At 40.0% G+C, this 25,221-nt stretch overlaps 1 long non-coding RNA gene and 1 pseudogene across 2 annotated transcripts in view; one reads left to right on the top strand and one right to left on the bottom strand.

The window, feature by feature from the left end:
• The window catches only part of CCDC162P (coiled-coil domain containing 162, pseudogene), a 189,118-nt pseudogene that overhangs the window by 71,637 nt on the left and 92,260 nt on the right, over positions 1-25,221 (bottom strand). The window contains exons 20-24 of the transcript NR_152435.1: positions 21,221-21,423; positions 18,356-18,511; positions 15,411-15,504; positions 13,136-13,273; positions 588-745 (exon numbers count right to left, since the gene is read on the bottom strand). The product of NR_152435.1 is annotated as a coiled-coil domain containing 162, pseudogene (transcript). The remainder of the gene's footprint in view (positions 1-587; positions 746-13,135; positions 13,274-15,410; positions 15,505-18,355; positions 18,512-21,220; positions 21,424-25,221) is intronic.
• Positions 16,809-17,872, top strand: LOC124901374 (uncharacterized). Its single transcript, XR_007059701.1, has 2 exons — positions 16,809-17,168; positions 17,520-17,872. It is a non-coding gene; the product is annotated as an uncharacterized LOC124901374 (long non-coding RNA).

The raw sequence follows: 25,221 nt of genomic DNA, 5'->3' as shown, positions 1-25,221 counted from the left end.
CAAGACCATCCTGGCCAACATGGTGAAACCCCGTCTCTAATAAAAATACAAAAAATTTAGCTGGGCATGGTGGCGCGTGCATATTATCCCAGCTACTAGGGAGGCTGAGGCAGGAGAATCACTTGAATCCGGGAGGTGGAGGTTGCAGTGAGCCGAGATCGTGCCACTGCACTCCAGCCTGGTGACAGAGCGAGACTCTGTCTAAAAAAAAAAAAATAGGGCAGTTCTGTGCTTCTCAATTTAAATAGATTTGGAGAATTTGGAAAGGCCTTCCTTGTGATATACACTCTTTGCAGTCTGAAAAATATACAGAGAGAGAAGAAGGGAAGTGAAAGAGAAAAGAGAAGAGGGGAGGAAAAAGAGAAGGGGTTAAAATGAGGAACTGTTCACTGTCCTTTATTGACTGGAGTATATTGGAAGGAGCTGAGCCCTCTCAGTATTCATACAAGGTCTTTATATAAGATGCTAGTCACTCTGAGAGTTTAGACTCCTTCAATCCCCCCAATACTATTTATTAATTGACTTAAAAGAGGACACTTTTGTTATTCTAAGTAGTATTCCTCCTTCCATCTCACCAGGTACAGTACCTTTTGGTAGCCTGAAATCTTTCTGGAGAATGAGTAAGTGTATCTGGGACTTTTGGAGTTGGGGCTATCAGCGAGCTGTCTATGCCATTCACAATTCTGGAATATCTTCTTCTGGTTGGGCCCATTCCACCATGATTTCTCAGATCTGAACTTATTTCCTAAAATATTTTAAACCAAAGTAAATTAAATTTTTGGGCATATAAGTCCTGAAGCACTGCTGTAAAATGATCTCACAGCCACAACTGATCCCCAACACATGTAAAGGCCTGGGTACATGTGACAGGGGAGTAGAAAGAAGAGAAGAGGAGGGGAGGAGACGGAAAGGGAAAAGAGTGGAGTGGAGGAGGAGAGATACCACTTTGCACAATTAAGAGGTGAGGCACTAAGTGTGATTATTTTCGGAAGAGAGTGCAGTTGTCTAAAGTGCTCTGAGAAAAAGATCTCCATTCTACAAAGTGGCTAGATAGTGTGCTCTGTATATAGTGGTCTTTCAAGGAATACCGATAATAGTTTTCACGGCTACAAGATCTGAAAAGTTCCCACAGGGCACCTAGGCAGATGGAGGTGGGCTTTATATGCCACCATGCACAACATAATGACAAAGAAGGGAGGGAGAAGGGAGACGGAGAAAAAGAGGAGAAGCAGGGAGAAGGGAATGAGGAATGGGGAAATAAAAGGGAAATTCATGTCTTCCAATATTCCAGCTCCATTGGCTATGGAGCTGCGGGGCATGTTGGATGGAACTCATTTATATTTTTCTAAACTACTCACTAAAAGAAAAAGGTTAAAGCTTTGAAGGAAAGATCATTCTTCAGTGAAAGACACAAGGAGTTACCCATAGCAGAATTACCATAGGAGACATAAGGAGAAAAAGAAAAAAGATCCTAGGTAAAAAACTCTAAGGTTTTCAACCAGATTTTTTTCTGAAGACCCTTGAGGTATCCCAGTCTCTTGGAAATAGGAGCATCTGCTAGTTCAGGGAACTGGGGAGGTCTTACAAGGTCATGAGTGAGGGGAGAGGGAAGAAAGCACACGCTCTGCAATCAGATCCTAGTGCTGACACTGAGCTGCTCATCTTGTCTCTTTTTCTTAACCTCTAAGAACCTGTTTCCTCACCCAGAAAAAGAAGGTAACACCCACCCACCCCCCATCACATGGGGCAGTGAGAGGACTCCATGAGTCCACCTATTTCTATCACCTAGCTTACTGCCTGCCTGGGCCACAGAAGCTGCTGAATTAAATCATTAACTCCCTGACCCACCACCTACACTCTCCATTCCAACCATGCCCAGTATTCATACTCATCTCTATCCTCAGTTGCTTCCTCTTGTCCAAGTCTCTTCCTACAAATGTGTTCACATTTTTTTTTATTCTTTAATCTTCCTACCCTTTCAAGTTTCTTCCTCAATTCTTAAAGAGCTACTATGGCCTGAATGTTTGTGTCCCTCCAAAACTCGTATGTTGAACTTCTAACTCCAAAGTGACAGTGTTTGGAGATGGGGCCTTTGGGAAGTAATAAAGTGTAAATGAGGTCGTAAGGGTAGGGCCTTAGTCTGACATGGCGCTGCACTTATAAAAGAGGAATAGACACCGGGGCTCTCCTTCACTTGCTTCCCACCTGTCCATCCTTTAGTGTGAACACACAGTGTAAGGCAGCCATGTACAAGCCAGAAAGAGAGCCCTCACCAGAAAACAACCATGCTGGCACCCTGATCTCAGACCTCCAGCCTCCAGAACTGGGAGAAAATAAATTTCTACCTCTTAGTCCATGGTATTTTGTTATGGCAGCCCTAGCAGACTAATACAAGAGCAATAAACACACACTCCTTCTACACATCTATCAGCCTCTTCTTGCTCCTTTACTCTGGCACTCTAGCTTTCACTCTGACTTCATTAGCAGAACTGCTCTCAGAGTCAGCAAGAAGTTTTTGTGGCCTCATTTTAATCCCTACCCTCCGAATTTTCTCTCTACATTCAAATCTATTGGATTCCTTCTTCTTCTTCTAAAAATAATAGCTTTATTGATACATAATTGACATTCAGGAAACAACACATATTTAAAGCATTCAATTGGATTAGCTTTGGCATATGTACTCAACTGTGTAACCATCATCACAATCAAATTATGACCATAGCCACCCTTCCCACCTTACCACTTCCTTAAGCAATCACTGCTTGGCTTTCTGCAACTATAGATGAGAATGCATTTCCTAGAATTTAATATCCATGGAATCATGCATTATATGCCCTTTTTTGTCTTCATATTATTGTGGATATAAATATTTTACTTCTTTGTGTTGCTGAGTAGTACTATTCTGTCGTATGGATACACTACAATTTGTTTATCCATTCACTTGTTGATGGGCATTTGGATTCTTTCCAGTTCTTGGCTATTATGAATAAAACTGCTATAAACATATTGTGTAAAAATGTTTGTATAGACATGTGCTTTCATTTCTCTTGGTTAAATACCTAGGAGAGGAATGGCTGGATCATATGGTAAGTATATCTTCAATTTTTTTAAGAAACTGCCAAACTGTTTTCCAAGGTGGTTGCACCATTTTGCATTGCCATTAGCAGTGTGTGAGAGGCCCGGGTCCTCCACAACTTAGCCAACACTCAGATGGTCAGTCTTTTACATTTTAACCATTCTAAAGGGCATGTAGAGGTTTCTCAATAGGGTTTCAGTTTGCATTTTGCTAACGACTAACAGTGTTGAACATCTTTTCTGCTTATTTGTCATCTGTACATCTTTGGTGACTTTTTCCTTCTTGAAATGTTCTCTTCCTTTGGCTTTGGTGGCAGTGCACAATTTGTTCTCCATCTCTTTCCTTTCTTACTCCCTTCCCTTTCTTCCCCTGCACTCTTTCATTGTCTCCATCATTTATTTCCCCTTATGATGTCATCAGTCCTCTTGTTGTTTCACACTTGTAAGAGAAGCAATGTGTGTGTGTATTACAGTATACCATTTTATAATGAAGTAGTCACAAAATGCATTTTAGTCAAGAGTCATAAACACATCCTAGAAGATACAATGACTGAGTTGAATCTTGGAGGCAAAAAAATAAAATGGGAGGGTGGGATGTGGTAAAGTAAGGTTAAAATTTTCTGAGAAATATGAGTAGAAGCAGAGAGACATGAAATAGCACCAAATGTTTAGGATACTTCAAATAGAGGGCAGGAGAAGTGACAGAATAGAGGGCTGGGGTCAGGAAGTGAAGGTCTTGCATGCCTAGCTAAGGAGGTTGAGTTTTGCTCTTTGATCTACAAGAAGCCACTGAAGGGATTTAATCAAGGAGGCATAGTTTCTCTGGTCACTGTGTGGAGGATAGATATGGTTGAGGGCAGAGGTAGTGGTGCAAGGCATGGACCCAGAGGGATGGAGGCCACTTAGAAGGCCATTATAGTCACACAAGTGAGATAATGAGAATTTGAACTAAGGCAGTGAGGATGGAGAAGAGGGGCCATATTCAATAAATATGTAGAGTGTGATATTGGCAAGAGGTAGTGCTTGATTGATCTAAAGTAAGAAAGCCAGAGGAGTTGAGGACAATACCCACATTTTAATCCTTTCTGACGGCTGGGCACAGTGGCTCATGCCTGTAATCCCAGCACTTTGGGAGGCCAAGACAGGTGGATCACCTGAGGTCAGGAGTTCGAGATGAGCCTGGCTGACATGGCAAAACCCCATCTCTACTAAAAATACAAAAATTAGCCTGACATGGTGACATGCGCCTGTAATTCCAGCTACTTGGGAGGCTGAAGCTGGAGGATCACTTGTACCTGGGAGGCAGAGGTTGCAGTAAGCCAAGATTGCACCATTGCACCCCAGCCTGGGCGACACAAGCAAAACTCCATCTCAAAAAAAAAAAAAAATCCTGTGTTACTACTCAGGTGGTGCTACCTTAACCAAGAATAGAAATACTAGAGAATTAGATGGGAGAAGAATGAGTTGCCTTTTGATACCGAGTTGAGGTGTTTGTGGGATATCCAAACACTATCTGTGAAGCATTTAGATACTCTAGTTTGGGGCTTGGGAGAGAGGTTCCATGAAGAGATGTAGATTTGAAAGTTGACAGTATATTGGAGGTTTTAAACCTCAAGAGTCGATGAGATCACCAAGGGAGAATATGAAAGGAGAGAATAGGAGTTCTAAAAAGAAGATCCAGGAAAACACCATCATGATAGAGATGGGTAGAGAAGAGGCCCCCAACTCCAGGAAATTGAGAAGGAAGAATCAAAGATGTAGAAGAGATCCAGGAGAGAACGGAGTCACAGAAGCAGAGGAAGAAGAGTATTGAGGACAAGGGAGTGACCAAGAGCATTAAATGAAGGAAAGTAGTCAAATATAACATCTTAATAATGTTCTCTGGATTTAACAATTGAGAGGTCATTGCTGACTCTAGTGAGAGCAGTTTCAGGGGTGTAGTGGAAGAGCAAGCTATATTACAATGAAAGGATATAGAGCTAGGGGGTTAAAGAACATCCTTTCAATAAACCTGAATAAGAAAGAAAGGTCATAATTAGGGTACTGGCCAGAGAAGCACATAGGATTCAGTTAAGCTTTCTGGAGAGGATGAAAACAATCTAGCCTGCACTTAAGTGGAATGTGGGAAGTACCTGTAAGTGGAAAGAGGTAATGGAGAAAAACACTGGAAGTGCAGTAGGGAAAGAAGATAACCAATGAATCAAGGCCTCAGAAAAGGAAATGGATTGAGAATGTTGGTGGGAGGCATTGAACTTGACTGGGAAGAGGAACACTTCACACTCTGTGGCTGGAGAGAAGCATGGTAGCAGGTGTAAGATACGTTTGAAGGGTGTGCATTTGAGGGTGGCAACCTGGTAGGAATCTTCAATCTCACCCCAAGCCTGTGTGCTGCATGCATTCCAACAATGCTGCTCACACCCATCCCTCCCGCTCATCCCCACAGCTGCACCCATGGCTCAGGACTTCACATCTTCTCGCCTTTTGGTCTCCCTAACTTACCTTTCTCCCCTTTAACCTGTCAAATGCAGTGAATATTCCTAATGAGAATCTCAGGTCAGGTCCTTCCTTAGCTCAAACACTTTTAAGTGTGAATTCAGCAATCACTCAACAAACGGTACTTATTATTTGCCTTTGTGTCTGTCTACAGCATTTTAAATCTCCAATAAGTGTGAATTCAGCAATCATTCAATGAATGGTATTTCCTACTTGTCTTTGTGTCTGTCTACTAGGCAGACACAAAGACAAAAAAATATACAAGGAGCCGTCCTTATAGTCAGTATAATGTGGAAAACATAATTGAACTACAAATGATTTTATATGTAGAAAATATAGTAACTAGTGATCTGAGAGACTAGGAAAAGGCTCTCTAGGGAGATGACACCTGGGCCGGTTCTTTCAGGGCACCCACATTATAGTCCTAGCCCACCTTCCCAGGCTGTTACCCTAATGCCTCCCTACCCTTCCCAATGCTGCAGGTCTTTCCAGGCTATCACTTTCCCACCTTCCACCCCTGTCCTGTGCTCCTGTCCAGTATCTTTTAACATGTGCTCCTTGGATTGATCTTAGGAAGTGACTTATAAGCTCTTAACCTTCACTTCAACCAGAACAGCCCCACTTACATCTGTTTTATATACTGGTATTCTTTATAAGATCAAATTGACTGAGTAAAGGATTCTCTATGTCAACTGTGTATGAAAATCATAAGTGGTTATCAAGTTGGGCTTCTCGTTTTTTCCTGGTCCCCATTTGCCCTTTCTGTCTCCCATGCCTGGGTATCTGAAGGGTCTTTCCTCTACTCAGAATGATCAAGTGGTCATCTCTGCCTGCCAAAAAACTCATCCTTCAGGGTTTTCCCAAATGCCCCCTCTCTGTGCTGCCCTTCCTGTTTTCCCAGATGTGTATTCTCATTTCTTTAATCTCCTTTTGTATGGCTTGTTGAACCTCTCTGTGCCTTTGTCTTTGAGCCACTTGTGGGCCTACCCCCCTTAAACACACCAGCCTAGAGGTTCATCAGGGTCAGGAATTGTACCTCAGTATTATCTTATGAGCCTAACTTACAATAGGCACTGAATTAAGATTTTGGGGGGTTGTATTTTTAAAAATCTATATAACTCACTCTATCCCTGTTTTTTGCAGCAGGTGATTTCTATGGGACAGAGTATTTGGCAGTAGAAGTATTTAGCATTCAATATTGTTGCCATACCCATAAATTTGTACTTTCCTATTAATATGAAGAGTACAGGCCAGGTATGGTGGCTCATGCCTATAATCCCACTGCTTTGGGAAGCCAAGGAGGGAAGATTGCTCAAGGCCAGGAGTTTGAGACCAGCCTGGGCAACATAGCGAGATCCTATCTCTAGAAAAAATTTAAAAATTGGCAGGACATGGTGGCACACACCTGTGGTCCCAGCTACTCGAAAGACTGAGGTGGGAAGATCAATTGAGCCCAGGAATACGAGGCTGTAGTGAGCTATGGTCACACCACTACACTCTAGTCTGGGTGCCAGAGTGAGACCCTATCTCTGAAAAAAAAAAAAAAAGAGAGAGTAGAAATGGGTAAATAGAGGTAGATAAATGTGATAAGGGGTTAATGTGGTGAGCTGAGTAGAATCCATGAGGCTTAAAGAATGTTTGAAACCATCTGGAAAGTTGATTTCTTAAAACCATATTTAATTTTACATGTAAGTTACATTCACTAGTATATACACAAAAGAGAATTATACAGTTGCAAAAAAGGGAAAACCTCTATGAACTGATTTGGAGTGATAACCAAGATATACTGTTAAGTGAAAAAAAACAAAATACAAAAAAAAAGTATATGTAGATAAAATCCAACCCCTTCACAATAAAAACATTCAACAAACTTAGAATAGAAGGGAATGTCCTCAACCGGATAAGAGGTATTTATGAAAAACTAATGCTAATATCACACTTAATGGTGAAAGGTTGACGGTTTTCCCCTAAGAGTAGGAATAATACAATAATATCTACTGTCACTACTTCTACTCAATCTTGTATTGGAGGGTCTAGCCAGAGCAATTAGGCAAGAAAAGAAATAAAAGGCATAAAGATTGGAAAGGAAGAAGTAAAACTATCTCTACTTGCAGATAACATAATCTTGTATATAGAAAATCCTAAGAAATACTACGAACACACACATACATACACACAAACACACACCTGTAAATTAGTAGAACCAACAAACTGGCTTTGTAAGATTGCAGGATACAAGATCAATATACAAAAGTCAATTTGTATTCTAATATACTAGTAATGAACACTCTGAAAATGAAGCTAAGAAAAACAATTCAATTTATAATCATGTTAAAAGGAATGAAATATTTTGGAATTAATATGTAACAAAAAAGGATAAAAGTTGTACCCTGAGGACTATAAAATATTGTTGAAAGAAGTTGAAGAAGAACTAAATAAAGGCATACCTCATTTTCTTGCACTCAGCTTAATGCAGATATTGTGTTTTTTACAAGTTGAATGTTTGTGGCAACCCTGCATTGAACAAATTATTGGCACCAATAGCATATGCTTACTTCATGTCTCTGTCACATTTTTGTAATTCATACAATATACAATATTTCAAACTTTTTCATTATTATGTCTATTATGGTGATCCGACATCAGCGATCTTTGATGTTACTATTGTAAATGTTTTGGGGTGCCATGAACCACACCAAATAAGAAGATGAACTTAATAAACGTGTGTGTTCTCACTGCTTCACCGACTGGCCATTCCCCTGTCTCCCTACCTCTCCTTGGATCTCCCTATTCCCTGAGACACCCTATTGAAATTAGGCCAATTAATAACTCTACAGTGGCCTCTAAGTGTTTAAGTGAGAAGCAGAGTCACACGACTCTCACTTGCAATCAAAAGCTAAATATGATTAAGCTTAGCAAGGAAGGCATGTCAAAAGCTGGAATAGGCCAAAAGCTAAGCCTCTGGTGCAAAACAGCCAAGTTGTGAACGCAAAGGAAAAGTTTTTGAAGGAAATTAAAAGCGTTACTCTAATGCATACAAGAACGATAAGAAAGGAAAATAGCCTTATTATTGATATGGAAAAAGTTTTAGTGGTCTGGATAGAAGATCAAATCAACCACAAAATTCCCTGAAGCCCAAGGCTAATCCAAAGCAAGGTCCTAACTCTCTCCAATTCCTTGAAGGATGAGAGAAAAGTTTGAAACTAGCAGAGACTGGTTCATGAGGGTTAAGGAAAGAAGCCATCTCCATAACAAAGAAGTGTAAGGTGAAGTGTGGTAAATGCTGATGTAGAAGTTGCAGCAAGTTATCCAGAACATCTAGCTAAGATAATTGATAGAGGTGGCTACATTAAACAATAGATTTTCAATGTAGACAAACCAGTCTTCCACTGAAAGAAGATGCCATCCGGTATTTTTATAGCTAGAGAGGAGAAGTCAATGCCTGGCTTCAAATCTTCAAAGGACAGGTTGACTCTTTTGTTAGAGATTAATGCTATTGGTGACTTGAAGTGGAAGCAAATGCTCATTTACCATTCCCCAAATCCTAGGACTCTTAAGAATTATGCTAAATCTATCCTGCCTGTGCTCTGCAAATGGAATAACAAAGCCTGGATGACACCACATCTCTTTACAGCATAGTTTACTGAACATCTTAAGCCCACTGTTGAGACCCACTGTTCAGAAAAAGAGATTCCTTTCAAAACATTACTGTACATTGACAGTGCCCAAGAGCTCTAATGGAAATGTACAAAGAGATTAATGTTTCTATGCCTGCTAACACAACATCCATTCTACAGCCCATGGATCAAGGAGTATGTCTTGTGTTTCTGTGTCGTATTGTGAAGTCATTATTAAGAAATACATTCCATAAGACTATAACTGCCATAGATAGTAATTACTCTAATGTAAGTTTGTCCAACCCATGGCCCACAGGCTGCATGAGGCCTAGAATGGCTTTGAATGCAGTCCAACACAAATTTGTAAACTTTCTTAAAACATTATTTTTGCATGTTTTTTTGCATTTATTTTGCAGTTTTTTTGCAATTTTTTTTAAAGCTCATCAGCTATCAGTAGTGTTAGTGTATTTTATGTGTGGCCCATGACAATTCTTCCAATGTGGCCCAGAGAAGCCAAAGATTTGGACACCCCTGCATAATGGATCTGGGTAAAGTAAATTGAAAACCTTCTGGAAGATTTATCATTCTAGATATCATTAAGAACATTCATGATTCATGAGAGGAGGTCAAAATATCCACTTTAACAGGAATTTGGAAGAAGTTAATTCCAACCCTCATGGAGGACTTTGAGGAGTTCAAGACTTCAGTGGAGGAAGTCACTGCAGATGTGGCAGAAATAGCAAAAGAACTAGAATTAGAAGTGGAACCTGAAGATGTAACTGAATTGCTGCATTCTCGTGATAAAACTTAAACAAATGAGGAGGTACTTCTTATGGATGAGCTAAGAAAGAAAGCGGTTTCTTGAGATGGAATCTACTCCTGGTGAAGATGCTGTGAACATTGTTGAAATGACAGCTAAGGATTTAGAATATTACATAAAGCACAGTTTGAGAGAATTAACTTCAGTTTTGAAAAAGTTTTACTGTAGGTAAAATGCTATCAAACAGTATTACATGCCAAAGAGAAACTTTTCATGAAAAGTAGAGTCAATTAATGTGGAAAACTTTATTTTGTCTTATTTTAAGAAATTGCCAGAGACCCCTGGCCCCCAACCTTCAGCAACCACCACCCTAATCGGTCAGCAGCCTTCCATATCAAGGTAAGACCCTCCACCAGCAAAAAGATTACAACTCACTAAAGGCTCAAATGATTATTAGCAGTTTTTAGTAAAAATATATATTTTTTCTTTTTTTATAACTTAATATTCTTTGGTCTGCAAGTGAATAATGTATATTTAATTAAGGTATATGTACATTGGGTTTTTTTAAGACAAAATGGTATTACACACTTAATTGGCTACAGTGTAATATAAACATAACTTTTATATGCACTCAGAAACCAAAAAATTTGCATGGAACCGTCTGGAACCAAACCTACAACATCTCCAAGGTGTGTCTATAAATAGAAAGCCATCCCATGCTCAAGAATTGGAAGACATAATATTGTTAAAATGGCAATCCTACTAAAATAAAATAAAATGGCAATACTACTCAATCTATAGGTTTGCTGCAATCCCTGTCAAAACTCCAACTTACTCTTTTTAAAGCCCCCAAAATTGACAAGCTGACACTAAAATTCATATGAAAATGCAAGGGACTCAAAATAGCTAAAGCAAACTTGAAAAAGAAAAACAAATTTGGAGGGATTATGCTTCATAATTTCAAACTTTCTACAAAGCTACAGTAATCAAAACATAGTAGTACTGGCATAAGAACAGGCATTTAGATTAATGGAATAGAATTGAGAGTCCAGTTATACATTCTTAACATTTATGGTCAAGTGTTTTTTTTTGCAAGGGTTCCAGGACAATTTAATGAGGAAAGATGAGTCTTTTCAACAAGTGGTTCTGGGAAAACTGATTAGCCGCATGAAAAGAATAAAGTTGGATCCCTACTTCCCATTATATAGCACAATTAAGTATAAATGGACCCTAGACCTAAATGTAAGAGTTAAAACCATAAATCTCTTAGAAGAAAATATAAGAGTGTTTTCATAACTTTGGATTAGGCAATGGTTTCTTAAATATGATGCCAAAAGTACAAGTAATGAAATAACAGATAAATGGAGATCATAAGACAATCCGTAGAATATATTTGCAAATCATATGCCTTATAAGGGACTTGTATTCAGGATATCTAAAGAACTCTTACAACTCATCAATAAAAAACCAAAACATCAAATTTTATAGAAAGGCAAAGGATTTAAATAGACATTTCTCTAAAGAAGACACATAAATGGTCAAGTCAGCAAATGAAAAGATGCTTAAGGTCTTAGTAAATAGGGAAATCCAAGTCAAAACCAAAATGAGATACTACTTTACTTCTACTAGAACAGCTAAAATAAAAAAACAATAACAAGTGTTGACAAAAATGTGGAGACATTGGAACCCTCATACATTGCTGATGGGAATGTAAAAAGCGCAGCTACTTTGAAAAACAGTTTGGTGGTTCCTCAAAATGTAAAATATAAAGTTACCATATAATCTGAGCAATCCAATTGCTAGGTATATACCCAAGAAGATTTAAAAATATATGTCCTCATAAAAACCTATACGTAGGCCAGGCGTGGTGGCTCACACCTGTAATTCCAGCTCCTTGGGAGGCTGAGGCGGGCAGATCACGAGGTCAGGAGATTGAGACCATCCTGGCTAATACGGTGAAACCCTGTCTCTACTAAAAATACAAAACAGTAGCCAGGCGTGGTGGTATGCACCTGTAGTGCCAGCTACTCAGGAGGCTAAGACAGGAGAATCGCTTGAACCTGGGAGGTGGAGGTTGCAGTGAGCCGAGATGGCACCATTGCACTCCAGCCTGGGCGACAGAGCAAGACTCTGTCTCAAACAAGATGAAACAAAACAAAACAAAAAAACCCTATAGATAAATGTTCATGGTGGCATTATTCCTAATGCCAAAAAGTAGAAACAAATGTGGTATATCCATATAATAAAATATTATTTAGCAATGAAGAAATGAAGCACTGATACATGCTACGGCACAGTTAAATTTTGAGAATATTATGCTAAGGGAAAAAATCCAGACACCAAAGGTCACCTGTTGTATGATTCCATTTATATACAATGTCCAGAATAAGCAAATCTATAGAAACAGAAAGTAGATTAGTGGTTGCTAGGGACTGAGGGGAGGGAGAAAAAGTAAGTAACTGCTAATGGGTACAACGTTTCTTTTGAGAGTGAGTGATAAAAATGTTTTGGAATTAGGTAGTGATGATGGTTGCACAATCTTGTGAATATACTAAAAACCACTGAATTATATACTATAATATGGTGTTTGTTTGTTTGTTTTGAGAAGGAGTCTCACTCTGTTGCCAGGTTGGAGTGCAGTGGCACGATCTCAGCTCACTGCAAACTCTGCCTTCTGGGTTCAAGCAATTCCCCTGCCTTAGCCTCCCGAGTAGCTGGGACTATAGGCACGTGCCACCATGCCCAGCTAGTTTTTTGTATTTTAGTAGAGATGGGGTTTCATCATATTGGCCAGGATGGTATCGATCTCCTGACCTTGTGATCCACCCACCTCTGCCTCCTAAAGTGCTGTGATTACAGGTGTGAGCCACCATGCCCAGCCTGTGGTATGTTTTATATCACATGAATTATGTCTCAATAACCAAAAAATAAGAAATACAGAAAAAAGTATAACTGAAAATTAAGAAATCCAATAAGGATTTGGTCATACATTGATTCACAAACAGGAAACAAGGAAAGGAAGAAAAAAGGAAAGTAAGGAAGATAAAGAGATAGGAAAGAGAAAGTAGGGGGCAGGGGAGAAAGAAAGGGAGAAAGGGAGAAGGGAAAAAAGGAAGGAAGAAAGGGGCAGCCTGACATTAGCTGGTGGAGGTGATGAGATGCCTCTGGCTTCTCTGTCATGCAGGCTGACCTTGACATTAGCAGGACAGCTCCCTTGAGGGGTGCAATAGAAGTACACCTGCTGGACAGCCGCCATCAAAGCATTTTTCTGAGCAGCTTGGCATGCAAGAGTCACCTGCATATTTTCCACTCCTGAATGCAGCAAAAGCTAAAGGAAGAAAATATGAAAAATATTAGGAATGTCTTGCATAAAGAAGTGAGTTGAGGGTTGAAATCACCACTTATTCAACATGTAAATATATGAATCAAACTCCCAAATGAGCTGGGATGCTTGCTACTCAGCCATAAGACTGAATCTGGTCTCTCCCTAAGCAGCATTTCATTCCAAGAAGGCAGCCTCCAGGCTTGATTTGCTCTATAGCTGGACACCATGAGATTTCACCAGTGGTCAGGAAAAGATGAATAGGCTCTGATGAACTAGCAAACATGTGCTCAGTGGCAGGCTCCTGTAAGCCAAGATTAGATCGACATTTTAAAAATACACATATAGAAGCAAAGAAATCCAAGTAGCAGATAAAAAATAGCACCAGGTTTAGAAAGACCAGATAAAAGCTCCAATAACAAATGTATATTTTTAAAACCTTATGCAAAGATTGTTCACTACATGTGAACTTCTTTTTTAGTACCTAACAGAAGTTATTATAAGTGGTGTTGCAGTCTCTATGGTTCAAACCAGGCTAATGTGCACATCAAATAAGGCAAGGCCATCATTATGGTTTGAATGTGTCCCCCAAAAGTTCATGTGTTGGGAGGTGATTGGGCCATGAGATTAGAGCCCTCATGAATGGATTAATGTCATAATCGTGGGAGTGGATTTCTTTCTCGAGAGAGCAGGATGTTATAAAAGCAAGCTTGGCTTGCTCTTGCAGTCTCTTTTGCATGTAATCACTTGCCCTTCTGCTTTTCTGCCATGTTATGATGCAGTGCAAAAGCTCTTGCCAGAAGCTGCCACCATGTCCTTGGACTTCCCAGCCTCCAGAATCATGGACTATCGGGGAACCTGCCCCGATAGTCACGTAGGTTCTTTTCTACTTTCCCTAAATGTCAGCTGGCTTGAGAAATAAAGGGACAGAGTACAGAAGAGATAAATTTTAAAGCTGGGCGTCTGGGGGAGATATCACATGTCGGTAGGTTCCGTGATGCCCCACAAGCCGCAAAAACCAGCAAGTTTTTATTAGGGATTTTCAAAAGGGGAGGGAGTGTGCGAATAGGTGTGGGTCACAGACATCAAATACTTCACAAAGTAATAGAATATCACAACGCAAGTGGAGGCAGGGCAAGATCACAGGACCACAGGACCAGGGTGAAATTAAAATTGCTAATGAAGTTTCGGGCACCATTGTCATTGATAACATCTTATCAGGAGACAGGGTTTTGAGAGCAACTGGTCTGACCAAAATTATTAGGCAGGAATTTCGTCTTCCTAATAAGCCTGGGAGCGCCATGGGAGACTGGGGTCTATTTCACCCCTGCAGACTACAGACCATAAAAGACGGGCACACCTAGGGGTGCCATTTATAGGCCTATACCTCCAGGCACGTATTCTCTTTCCCAGGGATGTTCCTTGCTGAGAAAAAGAATTCAGCGATATTTCTCCCATTTGCTTTTGAAAGAAGAGAAATATGGCTCTGTTCCGCCCGGCTCACCGGTGGTCAGGGTTTAAGGTTATCTCTCTTATTCCCTGAACAATTGCTGTTATCCTGTTCTTTTTTCAAGGTGCCCAGATTTCATATTGTTCAAACACACATGCTGTACAATTTGTGCAGTTAATGCAATTATTACAGGGTCCTGAGGCCACATACATCCTCCTCAGCTGACAGGATTAAGAGATTAAAGTAAAGACAGGCATAGGAAATCACAAGGGTATTGATTGGGGAAGTGATAAGTGTCCATGAAATCTTTACAATTTATGTTTAGAGATTGCAGTAAAGACAGGCATAAGAAATTATAAAAGTATTAATTTGGGGAACTAATAAATGTCCATGAAATCTTTACAATCCACATTCTTCTGCCATGGCTTCAGTTGGTATCTCCGTTTGGGGTCCCTGACTTCCCGCAACATCGGACCAAATAAACTTCTTTTCTTTATAAATTACCCAGTCTCAGGTATTTTGTTATAGCAAAAGAAAATGGACTAAAACAACCATTATTATTATTTATGAAATTGGAAGCTTTTCTTATATATGGAAGCTAAATTTATATAAAGTATTATGTCTTCTTAAAGAAATATGTGAGCAAATTGCTTTATTTTACTTTCATTTGCTTTTAAAAAATAAATTGTTTACCTTAAGAATGGCTTCCTTTGTGTAAAAACTAAATTTGCCAATTTGGTTATCATCCACCTCAGAGATGGCTAAGACAAGAGCAGTAGGAGAATATCTGCAACAAAAAATATGAAATTGTTTTGATGTAATATGCAACTAATCAAGAGACACCATTATGATGGAACAGGATGTCATGATCAGATCAGAAATGTCAATAATAATAGGAAATGCAACTTTTATGCAAGACTTGATATTTCCACTGAAAGCTATAAGGGCTCTGGGATCTTTTCTGTCCTTTTTGGACTTGATCTTTCTGTAGTTTGATTATGGTGACCACCCCATAGCGTTGGAAATTATTTTCTCTTGATTACCATTACACTACTCTCTCCCGTTTTTCCTCTTACCTTCTTTTTTTTTTTTTAAGCAAAATGTTTTTATTTATTCAAAGTACATATATAGTTAACTGGGCATCAAAGGTGTACCAAGTGACTTTTTTTTTTTTTTTTGGAGTCAGAATCTTACTCTGTCACTCAGGCTGAATGGCAGTGGTGCAATTATAGCTCACTGCAGCTTTGAACCCCTGAGCTCAAGCAACTGTCCCACCTCAGCCTACTGAGTAGCTGGGACTACAGACATGCACCACCACACCTGGCTCTTCTCACCTTCTTGACCACACTTGTTTAGGATCCCTCACTGACTCACTCCTTTGAGCACCCCCTAAATGTTGTCCAATTCTCTCTCTTTCCTATGGGTCCAACAGCTATCTAAATATTCTTTACAGCCATTTTTCCACCTTGAGACTTGGTACTTTGTCCATAACTATGAGACTTTGTCAAGTAACTTAATATCTATCAATCTTTCTTTCTTCATCTGTAAAGGGGATATCACCTATCTCACATGGTTATGGCAAATATTAAGAGGGATAATATGCATGAATGTGCTTTTTAAAATGTAAGTAACTATACTCATATTTGATCCAGTTGACCTTCCATATCTATGGGTTCTGCATCCATGGATTCAACTAATTGCAGATAAAAAATATTTGAAAACACAAAATAATAAAAAGTAATAATACAAAAATTAAAATAATACAAATAAAAACAATGTAGTATAATGACTATTTACATAGCATTTAAATTGTATTAAGTATAATTATAAGTAATCTAAAGATGATTTAAAGCATAAGGGAGGGAGTGCATAGGTTATATGCAAATACTATGCCATTTTATATAAGGCACTTGTGCATCCTTGGATTTTGGTAATATAAGGAACTTGTGCATCCTTGGATTTTGGTAACCGAGAGGATTTTAGAACTGATCCCCCACAGACACTAAGGGACCACTATATATGTTGTTGTTATAATGGCACTCCAAAGTGGCAACTTTAAGGAATTAACATACATAAAATAAATATGAATTCAATACACAAGTTCTTTGGATGCATAAGCCTTCCCTTGGTAATGCAGAAGGCTTCCTTATCTTGCGGCATCTCTAGGTCATCACCTGGAGGACCAATCACAGACCACAGAGCATCGGCCAGACCACAGGGCATTTGGGCAGTTTGTGCTGATTGGTGGATTCTGACTGAACAAAAATGTGATGCCCTATTTTCACAGCAATATAAAACACCAACCAAGGAGGCCCTTGAAGAACCAGAAAATAGCTTGGCTCCAGATGGTTTTTTTTTTTGTTTTTTTTTTGCCAATTGGAGACCCAGCATCACCTAAGGCCTGACCATACTTCCTGCCTTGGCTTCTGTGAACATCTCTGTATCCTTACAGTAAATTCTGTTTTTGGCTTAGCTAGTGTGACAGGATAGAGCAGGGGGAGGTTTTGCCCCCAGGAGATATTTGACAATGTCTGGGGACATCTTTGATTATAGAACAGTGTGTGTGGGGTGGGGTACTGGAATACTACCGGTATCTAGTGCGTAGAAGTCAGAAATGTTGCTAATGAACCTAAGACACACAGGACAGTCCCCCACAACAAAGATTTCTTCAGCCCCAAAGTTTAGTAGTGCTAAAATTGAGAAATCTTGGGATATTGTATTCTATCATCCTAACCCCCTCATTCCACCCCTGCTCTGTGGAGTCTTTTAGGATATTAACACTCAGCATTCTATTTTGAGCAGGGATCTGCATTAGCGAAACAAAGGTGCCGGTTGCCTCCTTGGAGTCACCTTTTTCCTTCCTTGGCATGGAGCCAGTACCAAGAATCTCCAGGGATAGAGGTGGGACCCTATGGGGAAAAGCAGATAGCAGAGAAGGAAAGAAGAGGAAGACAGAAGTTTCTCCTCCCACACGTCAAAGGTTAATTGTGTGAGAACAAAAGAAGATTCCTTCCCCTGACTGAGTAGACTCACCATATATTACTAGTAAGGGTATTTTCTTTCAAGCAATGGGTTGGACCTATGGGGCATGAGAGAGAAGTTTCACTGGTTTGCACTGGCTTCTGTCACTAGCTAATAAAGAAGGCTGCCTGAGATATTGCCTGCATGTTATATTTGTACCTTGTGTTATCCTTTCAAGGAAACAGCTGCTCTGAAAACTTAAGTGACATCTTCCTGGTCTGAAGAAAAGTAAGAGATGAGACCTGGACTTCTGATCCATGGCTCTCACCCCATTAGACCCATGCTGACTCCCTTTTCTACCTGGAAGCAACATATTCTACCCGGGAAGCGGCTGAACCTGTGATTTCATCTCACCTGAGTTCTTGGACAACCTGGTTCTTTCATTTCTCAGTTACTTGGTGTTTTTAAATGCTATTGTCCCCCTAAATGAGATCTTACTTTTTCCCTCTTATTAAAAGAAGAAAGAAGAAAAAAAACTGGCATCATGGCAGATAGAATATAAGAGAGAACTTAGAAATGTGATTGTTCTTGCATGTTGAATGGTGACAAAAATTATTTTTCACTGGTTATTCACTCAGCCATTACGTTATTTTTACCTCAACCCTCTCAAGGCTTACCTGTCTACCCGACCACTGTCCTCCAGCAGAGAGGTTATAAACACAGGAGGTGGCTGGTCTGCCCTGTCCCCGTGTGATGCAAATTCAAAGTGAACAGGCCTCAGATACAAATGGAACTCTTCAAAACCCATCTCCCATGCCAATTCTTTATAGAGCCTAAAAGAAAAAAAAGAGCCAAGGACATATGTTAGTGTTTTCTCCTAAAAAGAAAGCGAGTGATAAGAAAACTAAGACACCTGAACAAGAACCAAAGTAAAGTCCAACAAAAGCCCAGATCTGTGTGAAGTGAGCGAGTCAAAGAGGTCTTCTGCTCTGCACTTGCTGTGACAGTTACAGATGGTAGAAAGCAGTTCAAGTAGGAGATGTGCTTGGGTGTTTACTCAACTCTCATTTTCCACAAGCTGACTTCTGTCCCCAGAGCCCTCATGAGGTCACCAATGTTGCTGAAATGCAACACTCACCATCTTCTCTCAGAGCTCATCACAGTTGGCCTCACTGTCCCCTCCTTGAGGATCATCTTTCTCCATGTTCCTGCCTCATGACCGCTCTCTCTCATCTTCACTGGCTTCTCCTCTTGCTTATCTTCAAATGTTGGTGTTTCCTGAGGTTCTGAACCTGGTTCTCTTCTCATCTACCACATCCCCTCCTTGGGGGTTTGTGGGGGAGTCTGTTCAGCTCCACACCCTAAGACTTCATGTAACAATCTGTGACCCTTGTCTGTGTCCTGACTTAACTCTGAGCTCCAGTCCCAAGTCTGTCGCAGCATGGTTCCAGTTAGATGTTCCTCTGGAATATCAGCCTTACATCTTTACAATTCTTTCCTCCTTCCTTAACACTCTCTTCCTCCTCCTCCTCCTCCTCCTCTTCTTCCTCTTCTCCTCCTTCTTCTTTTCCTTCTGCTTCTTTTCTTCTTCTTCTTCCTTCTTTATTCTTCTTCCTCTTCCTCCTCCTCCTCCTTTCCTCCTCCTTCTTCTTCTTCCTATTTCCTCCTCCTCCTTTGTCTTTTATTTTTAGAGATAGGGGTCTTGCTTTATTGCCCAGGCTGGGGTGCAGTGGTGCAGTCATAGCTCACTGCAGTCTCAAACTGCTGAGCTCAAGCAATCCTCCCACCTCAGCTTCCCAAATATCTGGAACAGGCATGCACCACCAGGCCCAACTAATTTTAAAAAAAATTTTGTAGAAATGAAGTCTTGCTGTGTTGCCTATGCTGGTCTCAAACGCCTGGCCTCAGGTGATCCTCCCATCCTGGCTTCCCAAAGTACTGTGATTCCAGGTGTGAGCCATGGTGCATGTCCCCCAACATCCCACTTCTAATGCATTTCTCATCTTGAGAAGTTGGCACGTGAAGGCTGAGTTCTTGGCACCTGTATTAGTTTACTAGGGCTGCTGTAACAAAGTACCCTAGAAACACACAAAATATTAAACAACAGAAATTTATTGTCTCACAGTTCTAGAGGATAGAAGTCTGAAATCAAGGTGTCAACAGGACTGGCTCCTCCTGAGGGCCGTGAGGGGAGGATCTGGTCCTGGTCTCTCTCCTTGGCTCATTGATGACCATCTTCTCCCTCTGCCTTCACATGGTCTCCCTCTGTGTGTGTCTGTGTCCGAATTTCCTCTTCTTATAAGGACACCAGTCAAACTGGATTAAGTCCCACTCTAATAACTTCTGTTTAACTCAATTACCTCTGTAAAGACCTATCTCCAAATAAGGCCACATTCGGAGGTACTGGGGATTAGGCCTTGAACATATGAATTTTGGAGGGACATAATTCAACCCATAGCAGCCCCTCTTCTATGAAGCTTTCCCTGACCACTTAGGAAGAATGAAATACTCTCTTTTCTGTACTCCCCTAGTATTTTGTACATATCAGTAGAATATCATTGTTACCATGTATCATGGGTAATTTTTACATTATGAGCTTCCTGCCACCAAGAATCATAAATTATAGAGTGATGTTAATATCTTGACTGATAATTTAAATTCTGCCTTCACACTTTCTAGTTATATGCTCTTAGGCAAATTAACTTTTATGAGCCTCTATTTCCTTGCTGATAAAATGTTTGTAACCTACCTCATAAGGATATTCTGAGAATTAAATGAAATAATACACATAAAGTCCCCAGTAAAGACCCTGGCCACAGCGGGCCCTTGATAATGGTTGGTGGTAGGTAACTGGACTCTATGTCTACAGGGCCTTTTGTGGGGACCAGAACATTACAGCACTCATACATGTTTACAACAAACCCTTTAGTTCCATATTATTCCTGCTTGTAGGACATGTCCACTTGATGTCCTACCATCATCTCACTCTCATACCTAAAACGTAACTCGCTAATTTCTTTCTCCTATGCGCCGAGCCCGCCATACCTCTGTCTGACCTGGATGCTGTCACTGACTCATCTCTCTCCCATCTCTAGGCTCTTTCTATTCAATTTCATTACATTCAGGAGCAAATTCAACCAATATTCCCTGAGTGCCTGGTGTGGCTCAGGCCCCATACCAGGTGATGGTATGTCATGGTAAAGAATGTGGATAGGGCTTTTGTATTTAGGGAGCTTATGCTAGCAGGAAAGTCAGTAAACCAATAATAAGCAATGAAGTAAAAGCAAATGGGCTGAATGGAGGGGAAACCCAGGTGCCAGTAGAAGGGCTTAGCCTGGTTGAGTGATCAGAGAGGCATTTCGGGAGGCTCGGAAGAGAGAAGGAACAAGGGAGCAAGGTGATCGTGTTAGCCATTTAGAAAACTCTGGCTGCTCTGGGAGCAGAGAGGGGCAGGCTTGTAGGCAGGGAGTCTCATGGCCTGTTTCCCCCCATGTTTTGCTGCAAACCTTATATTCCACCTGGGTCCTCTGACCCCCACTGACCGAGCTAAGTGTGCACTCTCCAGGCTCATTTCTATCAGCCGGTGGCGGAGGGTCAAGAGTTCCAGAAGTTTGGAAAACATCTCCAAGAGCAGCACGTGAGAGTCTTGGTCTTGTTTCTGTCCTTCGTCTGCTGCAGACTTGAATGCCAGCAGGCCTATCTCCCCCACGAGAAAGGGATCTCCCATAACTTTAGCTGAAAACAGCTGAAAGAAAACAAAATATCCTTTAAAACATAGAAGAAGAATTTTCACATTAAAAAAATATACTGTCTGTCAGTGGCACAAACTCTGGATCCAGATTTCCTAGGCTCAAGTTCTAACTTTGCCACTTAGAAGCTGTGAGATTTTGGTAATGTACTCAATTTGGCTGTCTCTCAATTTTCTCATCTATAAAGTGATGATCAGGATAATAACAGTCCTTACTGTATGCAAATAGATACTAACTTCCTAATAGGGCTCTTGAGAGGGTTAAATGGGTTAACATATGCAAAAGTATCTGCTGTTATCATTATTATAAATGTTATGAGTCTAAATAAACAAATCCCTAGATATTCACTGTGGGGATACTTTGTCTATGCCAAAGACAAGCTAAATAGAAATAGACGTCCCTGATTTTTAAAAGTATTTTGGTGGCCAATAATAATTTTTTTTTTTTTTGAGATGGAGTCTTGCTCTGTCGCCCAGGCTGGGGTGCAGTGGCGCAATCTCGGCTCACTGCAATCTCCGCCTCCCGGGTTCAAGCGATTCTCCTGCCTCAGCCTCCTGAGTAGCTGGGACTACAGGCATGTGCCACCACGTCCGGCTAATTTTTTTGTATTTTTAGTAGAAATGGGTTTTCACTGTGTTAGCCAGGATAGTCTCAATCTCATGACCTCATGATCTACCCGCCTTGGCCTCCCAAAGTGCTGGGATTACAGGCGTGAGCCAGTACGCCCGGCCAACAATTTTTTTTTTAAATAAACCTCTCTAATTACAGTTTCAAAATTTCAAAGTATTTTTACATATATTAACGCATTTTTATTTTCACAAGATCCCTATGAAATAGGCGTCACAGGTATCATTATTCCCCTTTGTCAGTGAGGGATCTGAAGCAACATGAAAATTTCCAAGGTCACAAAGCAGTACCAAGAGTAAATCTGGGCTTCCTAATTCCAAGTTCAGCTGTTTTATAGTACACCAAACTGCCTTTCCAGCATTCTTTCACTCAGAGCTGGCTCTGGGTGATTTGTGAAGTAACCACATTGTCCTTTAACACCCTCCTGCCTTGGTGGGTACCTCTGCTCTAACATCTTTGCTGTCTTCGAATATACCACTCCCAGCAACCACCCAGTCTGGGGACCCCCCAATCTGCCTCTCTGGTTTGGCTCCCCAGGATACATAGGCTCCTTTGTCTATCCACTTATCTACCAAAGGACTGGGCTACTAAAGGATGCAATTTCTAGGCTCTTAAAGTTTTCCAAAGTGGTAACAAATAGACCTATTAAATAAATTCCTGTATGTCTTCTGAGGGCGTTTTCTGACCTAATATAAAATATTAATCTGAATATTTATCACTTGTAGGTCCAAATTTGGACAGATTTCAAAAATAATAAAACTGTGTGACAGCAATGGGAGACTAGACAGGTATCCCAGATATTTATTATAATTTATAAAAGGATTTCAAATACATCTTTTAAATGTGGTATCATAAGGCAATGTGAAAAGAATCTTCAATAATGGTAGCAGAATAAATTGCTGGTAATTTGAGGAAAAACTTGGTTTTGACTCATACATACCTCACATACCACACAGATGCATGCACACATACTCTCTTTCTCTTTTTCTCTCTCTCCAGTGAAATATTAAAAGAGTTAAATATTTTTATTTTGTTTATTTTTATTTATTATTTATTTATTCATTTATTTTGAGGTGGAGTCTTGCTCTGTCACCCAGGTTGGAGTGCAGTGGTGCGATCTCGGCTCACTACAACTTCCACCTCCCATATTCAAGTGATTCTCCTGCCTCAGCTGCCTGAGTAGCTGGAATTATAGGTGCCCACCACCATGCCCGTCTAATTTTCTATTTTTGGTAGAGATGGGGTTTCGCCATGTTGGCCAGGCTGGTCTTGAACTCCTGGCCTCAAGTGATCTGTCCACCATGGCCTCTCAAAGTGCTGGAATTACACTTGCGAGCCACTGCGCCCAGCAGTGTTAAATATTTTAAAAATAAAACCAAGCACTTAAAAATGAGAATCAAATAAGACAAATATGAAATATCTGGAGTAAGATTTTTTTTCTGAATTTAGGATAGAAGAAATCATAAAGAAAATGATTAATAGATTTGACTATATGAAAATAAGTTTATGTTAAAAAAAATGGAAAGACAAATGGGGGGGCTGGGCACAGTGACTCGTGCCTATAATCCTAGCAATTTGGGAGGCCAAGGTGGGGGAATCGCTTCAGCCCAGGAGTTGGAGACCAGCCTGGACAACATGGTGAAACCTCATCTCTACTAAAAATACAAAAATTTAGCTGGGCATGATGGTGTGCACCTAGAGTCCCAGCTACTCAGGAGGCTGAGGTAGGAGAATAGCTTGAGCTGGGGAGACTGAGGTTGCAGTGAGCTGTGATTGTGCCACTGCACTACATCCTGGGCAAGAGAGTGAGACCCTGTCTCAAAAAAAAAAAAAAAAAAAAAAAAAAAAAGGTGGTGGGGGAATGAATGGGGAAACATTTGTAGAAAATTATAGACAAAAAGAAGGTTAAAGTTCTTATTTAAGAGAAGCTCATGTAAGTAGATAGGACTAATGTTAGGATTCCAACAGATAAATAAATGAAGGGAAAGAACAAAATTCACAAAAAATATAATTAGCAACAAAACATTTGAAAGACTATTTAAGTTCAATAAATAGCAAGAAAATGCAAATTAACAGCATAATACCACTTTTTATGTATATGTGTATATTCGCACATACATCATATACTTTTGCCTAATACTACACAGTATAGCAGAACTGGTACTCAGAATATATAAGTGCCATTATAAATTGGCACAACTCTTTGGAAAGCAATCTGCCAATATGTATCCAAATATTTAAATTTTATTTTAGTAATTCTGCTTCCAAGAACCTATCAAAAGGAATCAATTCAAAATATGGAAAAATCTTTAAGTAAAAAGATATATCTTATAGCATTTTTCATAAACGAAGAATTGGAAACCACTTGAATGTCCATCAATAGAGAAATGATTAGAGAAGTTTTTATTCATCAGATATGGGAATTATGTGGTCATAAAGGTAAGTCTAAAGACTAGTTAGTGTTATGGAAAAATATGTAGTATAATGTTAACTGAGAAGAGGAGGAAATAACAATGGACAAAAACTATGGTTATAGCTGTGAACAACACACATATTAACAATACTTAAATTCAGAAAAATAATGATATGAATGCATTTGATTGGTGATGTTTAAATTCAATTTTGTTCTTTCTGCTTTTACTAGAATTCTCTGTGATTTTATATTATTTTGATCACTGTAAAATAAAATCAATTTTTACTTTAGGCAGGAGGGGATAGGAGGCCAAGGCAGACCTATAGAGCAGACAGTTTTGGCAGTGGGGGGCCCATGAAAGTTTCTTTGTCACACAGCAAGAACGCACACAGAATGAGGTCAAATTGGAAACCCAGGGGTAAACTTGACAGCCTTAACAGAAAAAGAAAATCATTAAAATCCAACTACAAACACCATATAAATCATTAACCCACAATTTTAACCATGGAGCAGTAGAGCTGAAAGGGGCTTCAGAGATCATCGAGCTCACCTCCACCTACCTCCCCTACCAAGTACACAAACATAGTTTTACAAAAAAAGGAAAGTGAGGTCAGAGAGGCTAAGATATATGCTCAGAGTCACACAGCAAGTTAATGGCAGGACTGAACTTGAATTCAGATCCCTGACTCCTTACTCAGTGCTTTCTGTCTTCTACCAGATCTTGACAAAAAGAACACATTTAGGAAGTGTCTTA

This window comes from Homo sapiens, chromosome 6 (assembly GCF_000001405.40).
Source record: "Homo sapiens chromosome 6, GRCh38.p14 Primary Assembly".
Lineage (NCBI taxonomy): Eukaryota > Metazoa > Chordata > Mammalia > Primates > Hominidae > Homo > Homo sapiens.
The sequence above is the reverse complement of the archived record's forward strand: the minus strand, read 5'-3'. Positions and strand labels throughout refer to the sequence as shown.